Source organism: Homo sapiens, chromosome 22 (genome assembly GCF_000001405.40).
Source record: "Homo sapiens chromosome 22, GRCh38.p14 Primary Assembly".
In the NCBI taxonomy this organism is placed as follows: Eukaryota; Metazoa; Chordata; class Mammalia; order Primates; family Hominidae; genus Homo; species Homo sapiens.
This window is the reverse complement of record NC_000022.11, coordinates 50,674,919-50,688,418: the sequence shown is the minus strand read 5'-3', so window position 1 is coordinate 50,688,418 and position 13,500 is coordinate 50,674,919. Positions and strand designations below refer to the sequence as shown.

The 13,500-nt window shown below is 57.6% G+C and overlaps 1 protein-coding gene across 1 annotated transcript in view, besides 1 other annotated feature; it reads right to left on the bottom strand.

Annotated features, from left to right (window-relative positions):
• Window positions 1-13,500, bottom strand: part of SHANK3 (SH3 and multiple ankyrin repeat domains 3) — a gene marked incomplete in the record, with an annotated part of 60,390 nt that overhangs the window by 44,794 nt on the left and 2,096 nt on the right. The window contains 8 exon segments of the mRNA NM_001372044.2: window positions 3,768-3,834; window positions 5,002-5,079; window positions 8,991-9,107; window positions 9,233-9,400; window positions 9,499-9,650; window positions 9,726-9,834; window positions 11,726-11,797; window positions 13,168-13,371. Coding sequence (NP_001358973.1) covers window positions 3,768-3,834; window positions 5,002-5,079; window positions 8,991-9,107; window positions 9,233-9,400; window positions 9,499-9,650; window positions 9,726-9,834; window positions 11,726-11,797; window positions 13,168-13,371 — 967 coding nt within the window.
• Window positions 12,293-13,096: an enhancer, noted in NCBI's record as "H3K27ac-H3K4me1 hESC enhancer chr22:51113751-51114554 (GRCh37/hg19 assembly coordinates)". NCBI's record gives its function as "activates a minimal SCP1, AML or CMV promoter by ChIP-STARR-seq in naive and primed H9 embryonic stem cells {active_cell/tissue: H9 hESC(naive and primed)}" and the evidence as "EXISTENCE:reporter gene assay evidence [ECO:0000049][PMID:30033119]".

The following is a 13,500-nucleotide window of genomic DNA, read 5'->3' as shown; positions in this document are numbered from 1 at the left end:
ATCAATCAGGTCTGAATTAACCCCCTCTGTGCCTCAGTTTCCTTCTCCGTAAAACAGTCTAATCACTCCTTGGGGGGTTGTTGAGAGGGCAAATTGAGATAAGGGGCTTGTATTAAATCCTGACAAATATGCTGCCTGTACTCAGGGAAATCTGGCGGTGTCACCCTAGTGTCTGTGTGTGGCACCTGATCAGGTAAGGGTGTTGTTGGCCCATGGAGCCGACGACCACATCAGGATGAACTGACACAGGTGCCTGCTCCTTACCACTGAGGGACGTGTGTCTAACTCCAACCAAGCAAGCACACCTAGGTTGGATAGCCAGTAAGTCGCAACCATGGTGACTCCAAGAGCCCTGGGGTATCTGTCCACAACGCACAGATGAGGGGCAGATGGGGCCTTCCCGCCCTCCCTCCAAGCAACTAGACCAAGGCCACCGGCAAGAGTCCAGCCCCACCCAGGATCAAACGCCACAGGACACCACAGGGGGAAGGGGATGCAAATGACCATAAGAGACCATGTTTCACTTAAGAGAAACTGAGGCGCAGAGGTCCCAGACAGCTTTCCCACGGTTAGACAATTATAGGCAGAAGAGGAGGCCCTGGCCGGGCACAGTGGCTCATGCCTGTAATCCCAGCACTTTGGGAAGCCGAGGCGGGTGGATCACGAGGTCAGGAGATCAAGACCATCCTGGCTAACACGGTGAAACCCCGTCTCTACTAAAAATACAGAAAATTAGCCAGGCATGATGGTGGGCACCTGTAATCCCAGCTACTCGGGAGGCTGAGGCAGGAGAATGGTGAGAACCCAGGAGGCGGAGCTTGCAGTGAGCCAAGATCGCGCCACTGCACTCCTGCCTGGGCTACATAGGCAGACTCCATCTCAAAAAAAAAAAAAAAAAGAGGAAGAGGCCCCACACATGCACAAACCAGGGCCTTCCAACACTAAGGGCCACCTCCAAAACACCAGCCCAAACCAGAAGTAACTATCTGCTGCCCCTTATGCAAACCCAAACCTTACCACAGTTCTCCCCTGACCTGACCCTGGACTCCGATCCTACCCATCCCACTGGCCCAGTTACTTCCTCAACACACACTTCCCTGCAGTGGCCTTGAGAGCAGCTGTGGCATTCACCGAGGGTCTGCCACAGCCTCAGATGGTTCAACTGACACAGCCTGGGGTGGAGGGGCTCATAACCAAGCCTTACAGGGGGATGTTCAGGGGGAACTCTACAGAAGAAGGGCCCTTAAACATGAAACCGACCTTAATCTTAACCCCAGTCCAAAATTCAACTCCAGCCCTGACCATGACCTCACATTAGAACCAAGTGAGAGTCCAACCCTAACATCTGCTCCAGACGTTTGCTGCCCGCTGTCACTTCAAATTAAAACAAAAACAAAAAATGGGGACACCCACGAGTAAACACTCATGGCAGGAAGGGGGTCCTGGGAGTCCATATACCAGAGAGAGGCACAGGCACCAGAGGGGACTCCGGCAGCTACAACAGGATGGTCCCAGCCTGGCCAGCAGCAACTCTCCCAGAGGGGACTCCGGCAGCTACAACAGGACCGTCCCAGCCTGGCCAGCAGCAACTCGCCCAGAGGGGACTCCGGCAGCTACAACAGGACGGTCCCAGCCTGGCCAGCAGCAACTCTCCCAGAGGGGACTCCGGCAGCTACAACTCTCCCAGAGGGGACTCCGGCAGCTACAACAGGACGGTCCCAGCCTGGCCAGCAGCAACTCTCCCAGAGGGGACTCCGGCAGCTACAACAGGACGGTCCCAGCCTGGCCAGCTACAACTCTCCCAGAGGGGACTCCGGCAGCTACAACAGGACCGTCCCAGCCTGGCCAGCAGCAACTCTCCCAGAGGGGACTCCGGCAGCTACAACAGGACCGTCCCAGCCTGGCCAGCAGCAACTCTCCCAGAGGGGACTCCGGCAGCTACAACTCTCCCAGAGGGGACTCCGGCAGCTACAACAGGACAGTCCCAGCCTGGCCAGCAGCAACTCTCCCAGAGGGGACTCCGGCAGCTACAACAGGACGGTCCCAGCCTGGCCAGCAGCAACTCTCCCAGAGGGGACTCCGGCAGCTACAACAGGACAGTCCCAGCCTGGCCAGCAGCAACTCTCCCAGAGGGGACTCCGGCAGCTACAACAGGACGGTCCCAGCCTGGCCAGCTACAACTCTCCCAGAGGGGACTCCGGCAGCTACAACAGGATGGTCCCAGCCTGGCCAGCAGCAACTCTCCCAGAGGGGACTCCGGCAGCTACAACAGGACGGTCCCAGCCTGGCCAGCAGCAACTCTCCCAGAGGGGACTCCGGCAGCTACAACTCTCCCAGAGGGGACTCCGGCAGCTACAACAGGACGGTCCCAGCCTGGCCAACAGCAACTCTCCCAGAGGGGACTCCGGCAGCTACAACAGGACCGTCCCAGCCTGGCCAGCAGCAACTCTCCCAGAGGGGACTCCGGCAGCTACAACAGGACGGTCCCAGCCTGGCCAGCAGCAACTCTCCCAGAGGGGACTCCGGCAGCTACAACTCTCCCAGAGGGGACTCCAGCAGCTACAACAGGACGGTCCCAGCCTGGCCAGCAGCAACTCTCCCAGAGGGGACTCCGGCAGCTACAACAGGACCATCCCAGCCTGGCCAGCAGCAACTCTCCCAGAGGGGACTCCGGCAGCTACAACTCTCCCAGAGGGGACTCCGGCAGCTACAACAGGACGGTCCCAGCCTGGCCAGCTACAACTCTCCCAGAGGGGACTCCGGCAGCTACAACAGGACCGTCCCAGCCTGGCCAGCAGCAACTCTCCCAGAGGGGACTCCGGCAGCTACAACTCTCCCAGAGGGGACTCCGGCAGCTACAACAGGACGGTCCCAGCCTGGCCAGCAGCAACTCTCCCAGAGGGGACTCCGGCAGCTACAACAGGACCGTCCCAGCCTGGCCAGCAGCAACTCTCCCAGAGGGGACTCCGGCAGCTACAACTCTCCCAGAGGGGACTCCGGCAGCTACAACAGGACGGTCCCAGCCTGGCCAGCAGCAACTCTCCCAGAGGGGACTCCGGCAGCTACAACTCTCCCAGAGGGGACTCCGGCAGCTACAACAGGACGGTCCCAGCCTGGCCCCACACCCACCAGAGACCTCCAAGAGGCTCGGGTATCCTGGCTGAGGCCACGTGTGTGTCTCCTGGTTTTCCTTCCAGGACCGTGAGTCACGCACACACCAGGCTTTCCTCTACTCGCAGGCAGCAGGGGGCTCAGAGCTCCTTGCCCTGAGGATGGCTATGGCACTATTCCCAGCCCCATTCTGCTTTCCCATCACTGTTGTTTTCCTTATGTGTCGTTTACATGATCTTTCCATGCTGAGAGCTTGCTACGGACCACCAAGACTCATGCTTGCTCCAGGGTGAAGTGAGGTCCACCACCCCCATGTCTCCTGCTGGCTCTTCCTAGGATTTAACGGGAAACAGGGACTCTGACCCTAACTTCAACCCCACTCTCAACCTATGCTGCCCCCTAAGCTGAATGCTAGCCCCGGCCCACAGCCCAAACCTCACCATGCTCTTCTCCCAGACCAAAAACAATGTTCACTCAACACAGGCCCTGTGGCCCGTTCCTCATGCCCGCAGTGGCCACTCAGAGACCACTGGCCACACAGTGTAGATGTGGGGTGTGGGGCCCCTTTATGTCACCACTGACCCCCACATCTGCTGGGCCCCAGAAAACCACACGAATCTACATTCAGCAGGGTCGCCCAGGTGGGCAGAACTCACCAACATCCGAGTCTTTGTGGGTCTTGATAACCTCTGCAAGCTCAAAGTTCCCTGCGATGATGGCCACCTGAGGGAAAGGGGAGGTCAAGGCCTTGAGGAGCAGGGAGGGGCTGAGCAGCACCAGCTTTGCCTCGCCAGCCAGCCCCAGCTGCTCCTTCTCCAGTTCGTGTGTGGAGTCTTCCTTGGTTGGGGGCCCCGGAGACCCCAGCCCATTCCTCTTCTCTACTGACACACACTCTTGTCTGTAACTGGGATGCCACAGGCACACCCTATAACTGGAGTGACCCACCCTCTGTCTGCCTGGGACTGAGGGGCTGCCTGGACAGAAGTTCAGAGCTAAAACCAGCAGTCCCAAGCAAACGGGCACACTGGTCTGTCCCAACATGCAGCCATGTTTCCCATCTCAGCCAAGGCCCCGCAGCTGCCCAAGCTGCCAAGCTCATCCTCCCCTTCCTGTGACCCTGCACCCAGTCATCCAACAGGCCCGGGCGTATCTGCTTCCCAGTGTGCCCAAACCCATCTGGCAGCCCACTGCTGCCTCCACCTTCTATGACCACACAACCTCAGCAGCCTGACCACTCTTCCCACATCTCACTCCTACTGAAAATAGAGGAGTTCTGGCTCTGTTCCTGGTCCGCAAACCCCCACAATATTCCCGACTCCCCAACAAACTCCAAGTCAGAGACCACGTCCACCTGGTCATCAGTGCCAACCAACCTGGCCAGAGAAAGGGCCCGGAAACCTCCCCTGAATTACATCAGCGGCTAGGATCACACCCCTCTCCACCACCCCCCTCTCCACCACCCCCTCTCCACCACCCCCCTCCACCATCCCCCCTCCACCATCCCCCTCCACCACCCCCCTCTCCACCACCCCCCTCCACCACCCCCCTCTCCACCCCCTCTGCAGTTTGGCTTCTGCACCCCTGCTGGTCTCTCGGGGTTGGGGGGTCAGACCCACACCTGTCACCCCAGTCTTCTCATTTTCCCCATACCCCTGCCCCAGAGCCCTGCTGACCCTCCTCTCTCCCTGGCGAGGGGACGAAGGGAACATCAACACCAAATACCCCTCGCGTGCTGGGCTCGTCCCCCAACACCTCCTGTGGGCAGTCCTGGGGGAGGTGCTCCCTTAGGGCCTTCCAGGGAAGAACCAAGGTTCAGAGAAGTCAAGTCACATGGACACAGAGACAGACACCTCTGGGGCAGCCTTGAGCTCCTGTAAACCACCGGTGTACCTGGAAGGCTGTCTGGCTGTTGTAGTTGCGGACATCCCTGTTAGCTCCACGGAAGAGCAGGACACGAGCACAGCTCTCCTGTTGCGGGGAAGAGGGAATCACAGCTGGGTGGCTGGAGAGACCATCCGAGCACAACAGCACATGCGCACACAGGAATGCACACATGGCGTGCGCAGGGCACAGGCTCACACACACGGACTCACACCTATTTGTTCCATGTACACCTGAGTTGCAGAGACAAGCCAGTAGGTATACACGCTCAGGTCTCACCTGGCCCAGAGGGCCTAGATGTACCCAATTCATACCTGGTTATTCAGAACACACGTGCACACATGTGAAGCCCCTGTGTGTTCAGAGAACAAATGTGCACACATATGCCTATGAGGCTGTGCTGCAGCCACAACTCACTGCAGGACACAGAGCACATATATATACCATGGCACAGAGGCAGGGATGCACATACACAATCACTGTACAGGGTCATCTGTGTGCACACACACGTGTACACCCCCAGAACAGGCAAGTATTTCCACACTCCCTGGTGCACGCATGCAATCACTGTACAGGGTCACCTGTGTGCACACACATGTACACCCCCAGAACAGGCAAGTATATCCACACTCCCTGGTGCACGCATGCAATCACTGTACAGGGTCACCTGTGTGCACACACACGTGTACACCCCCAGAACAGGCAAGTATATCCACACTCCCTGGTGCACGCATGCAATCACTGTACAGGGTCACCTGTGTGCACACACACGTGTACACCCCCAGAACAGGCAAGTATATCCACACTCCCTGGTGCACGCATGCAATCACTGTACAGGGTCATCTGTGTGCAAACACATGTGTACACCCCCAGAACAGGCAAGTATATCCACACTCCCTGGTGCACGCATGCAATCACTGTACAGGATCACCTGTGTGCACACACACGTGTACACCCCCAGAACAGGCAAGTATATCCACACTCCCTGGTGCACGCATGCAATCACTGTACAGGGTCACCTGTGTGCACACACACGTGTACACCCCCAGAACAGGCAAGTATATCCACACTCCCTGGTGCACGCATGCAATCACTGTACAGGGTCATCTGTGTGCACACACATGTACACCCCCAGAACAGGCAAGTATATCCACACTCCCTGGTACACGTGTACAATCACTGTACAGGGTCATCTGTGTGCAAACACACGTGTACACCCCCAGAACAGGCAAGTATATCCACACTCCCTGATACACGTGTACAATCACTGTACAGGGTCATCTGTGTGCAAACACATGTGTACACCCCCAGAACAGGCAAGTATATCCACACTCCCTAGTGCACGCATGCAATCACTGTACAGGGTCATCTGTGTGCACACACATGTACACCCCCAGAACAGGCAAGTATATCCACACTCCCTGGTACACGTGTACAATCACTGTACAGGGTCATCTGTGTGCAAACACACGTGTACACCCCCAGAACAGGCAAGTATATCCACACTCCCTGGTACACGTGTACAATCACTGTACAGGGTCATCTGTGTGCACACACGTGTACACCCCCAGAACAGGCAAGTATATCCACACTCCCTGGTACACGTGTACAATCACTGTACAGGGTCATCTGTGTGCAAACACACGTGTACACCCCCAGAACAGGCAAGTATATCCACACTCCCTGGTACACGTGTACAATCACTGTACAGGGTCATCTGTGTGCACACACGTGTACACCCCCAGAACAGGCAAGTATATCCACACTCCCTGGTGCACGCATGCAATCACTGTACAGGGTCACCTGTGTGCACACAAACACACGTACACCCCCAGAACAGGCAAGTATATCCACACTCCCTGGTACACGTGTACAATCACTGTACAGGGTCACCTGTGTGCACACAAACACACGTACACCCCCAGAACAGACAAGTATATCCACACTCACTGGTACATGCATACAATCACTGTACAGAGTCATCTGTGTGCACACAGACACATGTACAACCCCAGAACAGGCAAGTATATCCACACTCCCTGGTGCACGCATGCAATCACTGTACAGGGTCATCTGTGTGCAAACACACGTGTACACCCCCAGAACAGGCAAGTATATCCACACTACCTGGTGCACGCATACAATCACTGTACAGGGTCATCTGTGTGCACACACATGTACACCCCCAGAACAGGCAAGTATATCCACACTCCCTGGTACACGCATACAATCACTGTACAGGGTCATCTGTGTGCAAACACACGTGTACACCCCCAGAACAGGCAAGTATATCCACACTACCTGCTGCACGCATACAATCACTGTAGAGTCATCTGTGTGCACACACACACATGTACAACACCAGAACAGGCAAGTATATCCACACTCCCTGGTGCACGCATGCAATCAGTGTACAGGGTCATCTGTGTGCACACACATGTACACCCCCAGAACAGGCAAGTATATCCACACTCCCTGGTGCACGCATGCAATCACTGTACAGGGTCATCTGTGTGCACACACATGTACACCCCCAGAACAGGCAAGTATATCCACACTCCCTGGTGCACGCATGCAATCAGTGTACAGGGTCATCTGTGTGCACACACATGTACACCCCCAGAACAGGCAAGTATATCCACACTCCCTGGTGCACGCATGCAATCACTGTACAAGGTCATCTGTGTGCAAACACACGTGTACACCCCCAGAACAGACAAGTATATCCACACTACCTGGTGCACGCATGCAATCACTGTACAGAGTCATCTGTGTGCACACACACACGTACAACCCCAGAACAGGCAAGTATATCCACACTCCCTGGTACACGTGTACAATCACTGTACAGGGTCACCTGTGTGCAAACACACGTGTACACCCCCAGAACAGGCAAGTATATCCACACTCCCTGGTGCACGCATGCAATCACTGTACAGGGTCATCTGTGTGCACACACATGTACACCCCCAGAACAGGCAAGTATATCCACACTCCCTGGTGCACGCATGCAATCACTGTACAAGGTCATCTGTGTGCAAACACACGTGTACACCCCCAGAACAGACAAGTATATCCACACTACCTGGTGCACGCATGCAATCACTGTACAGAGTCATCTGTGTGCACACACACACGTACAACCCCAGAACAGGCAAGTATATCCACACTCCCTGGTACACGTGTACGATCACTGTACAGGGTCACCTGTGTGCAAACACACGTGTACACCCCCAGAACAGGCAAGTATATCCACACTCCCTGGTGCACGCATGCAATCACTGTACAGGGTCATCTGTGTGCAAACACACGTGTACACCCCCAGAACAGACAAGTATATCCACACTCCCTGGTGCACGCATGCAATCACTGTACAAGGTCATCTGTGTGCAAACACACGTGTACACCCCCAGAACAGGCAAGTATATCCACACTACCTGGTGCACGCATGCAATCACTGTACAGGGTCATCTGTGTGCACACACACGTGTACACCCCCAGAACAGGCAAGTATATCCACACTCCCTGGTGCACGCATGCAATCACTGTACAGGGTCATCTGTGTGCAAACACACGTGTACACCCCCAGAACAGGCAAGTATATCCACACTCCCTGGTGCACACATGCAATCACTGTACAGGGTCACCTGTGTGCACACAAACACACGTACACCCCCAGAACAGGCAAGTATATCCACACTCACTGGTGCACGCATACAATCACTGTACAGGGTCATCTGTGTGCACACACATGTACAACCCCAGAACAGGCAAGTATATCCACACTCCCTGGTGCACGCATGCAATCACTGTACAGGGTCACCTGTGTGCACACAAACACACGTACACCCCCAGAACAGGCAAGTATATCCACACTCGGTGCACACATGCAATCACCGTACAGGGTCACCTGTGTGCCCACACACACATACACCCCCAGAAGAGGCAAGTATATGCACACTCGCTGGTGCAGGCATGTGCAGGACACACAGTCGCACCTGGTTGTAGAGGGCACAGATGTGCAGGGCTGTGTTCCCCGAGGCGTTCTGGGCCCCCATGTCTGCCCCATAGAACAGCAGGTGCTCCAGATGCTGCACGTGCCCAAAGCGGCAGGCCTGGGGGAAGAGCAAGGTGCTGTAGGGTCCCTGGGCAGAGGCTAGGGCCCCCACCCCTACAGACAGAGCCAGGACCCCCAACCCAGCACACAGAGGCCGGGACCCCACCTCGGCTCCCTGCACACCTGGTGGATCTCCTGCCAGCCATTCTCGTCGGTGATCCCCAGCTGAGCGTGGTCGTGGAGAAGCAGCTCACAGCAGAGGGCATCCCCACCCCCCAGGGCGCTGTGGTAGAGGGGTGTCAAGCCGCGGCTGTCCTTGTAGTCAGGTGAAGCCCCCAGGTCCAGCAGGGTCTGAGGGTGAGCAGCCTCAGTATCCACACCAGGCCCAGCTGCCCCCAGCCCCATCACCAGGCAAGAGCCCCTCCAGGCCAGGCCCCGCCCTCACTGACCGTCAGTGCTGCCGCATTCCGCTGGCGTGTGGCACAGTGCACGGCAGTGAGCCCATCGCGAGTGCGGAAGTCCAGGTGGGCACCACCATTCTTCAGCACCTTTAGCAGGTCCGTGGCGTTGTCCAGCTGGGCTGCGAGGCTCAGGGGGCACTCTGGGTTCACAGACAGATAAGGGTCAGGCTCCCAGCCGCGCAAAGGCCATGCCCCTCCCCGACTCCACTCCTCACCTCCTGAGTCAGGGTCATGGAAGTTGGGGTCCAGCCCCTTGTCCAACAGGCGTGCCACCTTGTCCGTGCTATGCAGCTGGACGTAGTCCATGAACTTCTTCAGGTTCGCCTGGAACACCGGCCGTCAGTCAGCCTGGCACCAAGGCCTCCATCATCTGAACATCACCCGCCTTCCTCCGGCAAGCCTCAGGCCACCTTCAGGCAACCCCCGCCACATCCCTACCAGTCTGACCTGTCACCTGACATCACAATTGTCAACCACGGTCCTGCACTCCCACCACGGCCCCAATTCCCACTCGGGTGGGCCCATGCACGGCTCAAAGCCCTTCCTTGCGCCCTGATAGCCAAACCAGTCACGACTGTCAGCTTGTACCCAAGTAGCCCCTCACCAAGGCCAGGTCACCCTGGTGGGGCCCCAAGCAAGTCCCCCACTCCAGGCCCAGTCACTGCCCTGGCTCCGTCTCTCCGGCCCTGCTGCCCCGACCTGCCTGGCCTAGAAGAGCCCGAGGTCCACCCAGGCAGGAACCAGCCCCACAGCAGCCCTGAATCCTCAGCACCCTGAGACAACCTGCTCCTTCTTCGGCCCATCTTCCTCTCCAGCTCACCCCACCGCAGACCCCCACCCCAGGGACCCATCCTGTGACATGACTTTGATGGCCTTGTACTCATTCACCCAGTTTATTCACTCACCCCACAAGGCCTCACTTCCCCAGCCGGCACTACGGACACCACACACACAAGGCAAGGTGCCCTGGCCAAAGGCCGGGGCCCTTCCATAAACACCCAGTGTACCTCAGAAATAGGGGAGGGTGCCATAGGGACCCCTGCCTTGGGAGGCAACCTCCTCAGGCGGGCCAGGCAGTGAAAGAGGAGGAAGTGCTCACTACCAGGGGAGAGGGAAAGGCCAGCTGGAGCCCAGGCAAGCAGAAACACGGGCTATGTAAGAAGTTCAGGCTCATCCTAAAAACAAACGAGACCTACTTCAGAGTGAGTCACTCATGTCTTGTTGGTCACTGAAGAGAGATCCGGAGGGAGAGGTGGCCATGGGGTAGGAACCCAGGCTGACAAGGTCAAGTGAGGGCCAGTGGCAGGAGAGGGGGACCTTTCCACAGTGGACTCTGCCCAGCCATAGTGCCAAGGCCGTTGACCACCGCCTGCCCTGGGGCAGCAGAAAAGCCTGGCACAGAAGCCTGAGGCTCCAAAGTCACTGATGGGACCATTAGGACACAGGGCTGACAGTTCTGATTCCTCTCCTGGGCTCCAGAGACCCTCCATTCTGACCCCTCTCCTGAGCTCGAGACCGCCCATAAAGTATCCAGCAAACAAGTGCCTGCTGGACTGTGAGCTGCGGGTGGAAGCCCCTGGGGAGGGGCTGTGGCACCCACCCTGCCCCTCTGACATTCAGCGGGAAATAGTAAGGTGCCCCCCTCAAGAGCATTTGGGGTCAGGCCCAGTTGGGGGTGGCACCCAGCAGTAGACACCTCAAAGGCATGCCTGGGCACAGGGCCTGGAATCAGACAGATCTGGGTTCAGCCCCAGCTTCACTGTCTACACAGTCGGGTACTCTGTGTCCCCATCTGTGAAACAGGGTTATAATAGTCCCTCTGGAAGAGGATTAATGAGAGGTCTAATCACAAATGCCTAGCACTGGTCGACCACTCGATGCTGGGTGCCTTGTCCCGACAGCCATCACATCAGATGCTTGTCCACTCCCTCTCCACCCAGCTTCTCACAGGACACTCCAGCCCCTAAGCCAGGGGGGTCGGCAAGAGTCTGATCTAACTGGAACACATCACTGTACCACCTGACCCCAACCATGGGGCCAGGAATCTGTGCCCAGCCCTTCAGCCACACCCAGTACAGGCTCTGGGCCCCTGATGATGGGGAAATGGACTGAGCTAAAGCTGGGGGACTGTGGTCAGCCCCAAGCTGGGGTGGGGGACAGCAGCCACAGGGAGGCAGGAGGGAACCTCAGGAGCCCCCTCCCCGTGATCCTTTACCTTTGTGTGAAGCTTTGCAAACTGCTTATCATCGATGAGGTTCTGGGCATAAACTCGCCGCTTGTATCGAAACTGCTCAGATAAAGAAAAGGTAGAGAAAATGCCCCCACCCCGGCTGAGCAAGTGAGTCCATGCACAAACCCCGTCCCGCTCATGCTGGCCACACCGCACCCCTCACTGCCCTCCTGTACACACCATCAGTCATACTACCACAGTGGACAGAGCTAACAGCTGCCATGCACCCACCACACTCAGGCATGATGCAGCCCGATGGAAGGCACGTGCCTAGCTGCCCGCAGCCTGCACTGTCCCGTCGCCTTCCCATCCCCAGGATTCTCGGCAAAATCCCACTCCTCTCTGAAGGCCTGATTCCAGGCTTACCATCCTAGACATCCCCCTCCACTCTCCAGGTAGAACTGACCCCACTTTCCTGTGCCACCACGGAGGCCCGCCCAACTTTGAGCTCAGCTCACAAAATCTTTATTCAATGCCCACTGCAGTTGGGCACCCCCCTCCACCCTGCCAAACTCCAAGACCTTCCACAGGACTGACCCCGTCTACGTCCCCATGCCTAGCAAGGCACTCAATACATCTTCACACCATGCATGGGTGAGTAAAGGAGGGGACTTGGTTGGCCTTCACAAGACTTCACAGCTGGAGAAAGGAACAAACGTGCACACAGATAGCCCTGCTCACACCACACACCCCTCTGGCACTCTCTCGTGCTCACACTCCTCCCTGGAGAACAATGCTCAGCGTCCACACCATCCATGCTGCTCAATGCACACACTGTTCAAACTACACACACCACACTGACTCTGTGGCACACAGCCCACACTGCACACACTGTGCACACTGTTCACTGTATACTGCGCATCCTGCTTACCACAATCACAACACTCACACTGTACTCACTGCCCCACACTGCAATGCTGTACACACTGCTCACTGCACACTACACACTGCACACCACTCACTGCACACACGGTACGTGCCCACTGCATACTTTGTGCACACTGACTGCACTGTGCCCACTCACTACACATGCTCACGGCACACAGCACACACCACTCACACTGTACATGCTGTGCACACTGCCCACTCACTGCACACACTGTGCCTGCTAACTGCACACACTGCCTGCTCACTACACATGCTCGCACACTGCCCACACTGTACATCCTTACTGCTCGCCCTGCCCGCTCACTGCACACACCGCGCCTACTCATCGCATACACTGTGTCCGCTCGCTGCACCCTGTACACGCTCACTGCACTCTGCACACAGCACCACACACACACACACACACACACACACACAGCCTCCACCCCTCACCCCTCCCACTTGTGTTTCCCCACTGCCGTGCCCTTCACTGGTCCCGCCACGGGGCTTGGTGATCCACCCTGCGCGCTCCTCAGCTCACCCCCGCGCCGGCCACTTACCTCCAGGTAGGGCAGGGGCGTGTCCAGGTTGGGCGGGTACTCCTGCAGGAGCCGCTCCTCATCCAGGAACTTGCCGGCGCGGCCCCGGGAGGGCGGCTGGAAAAGCCCATAGTTGAGCGCGTCCTGGAGGCTGTGGTTGAGGGCGCAGAGCACGCGCTGCTTGGCGGCCCACACGGGCGCGGCCGGGTCCAGGCGCAGGCACTTCTGCAGCGGAGCGGGCTCGTGAGCTCAGGTCCCGGGAGCGCGGACCCGCCCCGCCGGCCCCATGCGGGGTGCCGAGCCCCGGGCCCCCGCCGAAGGAGTCCGGGGCTCGGGTGCCGGCGCCCGGGACCC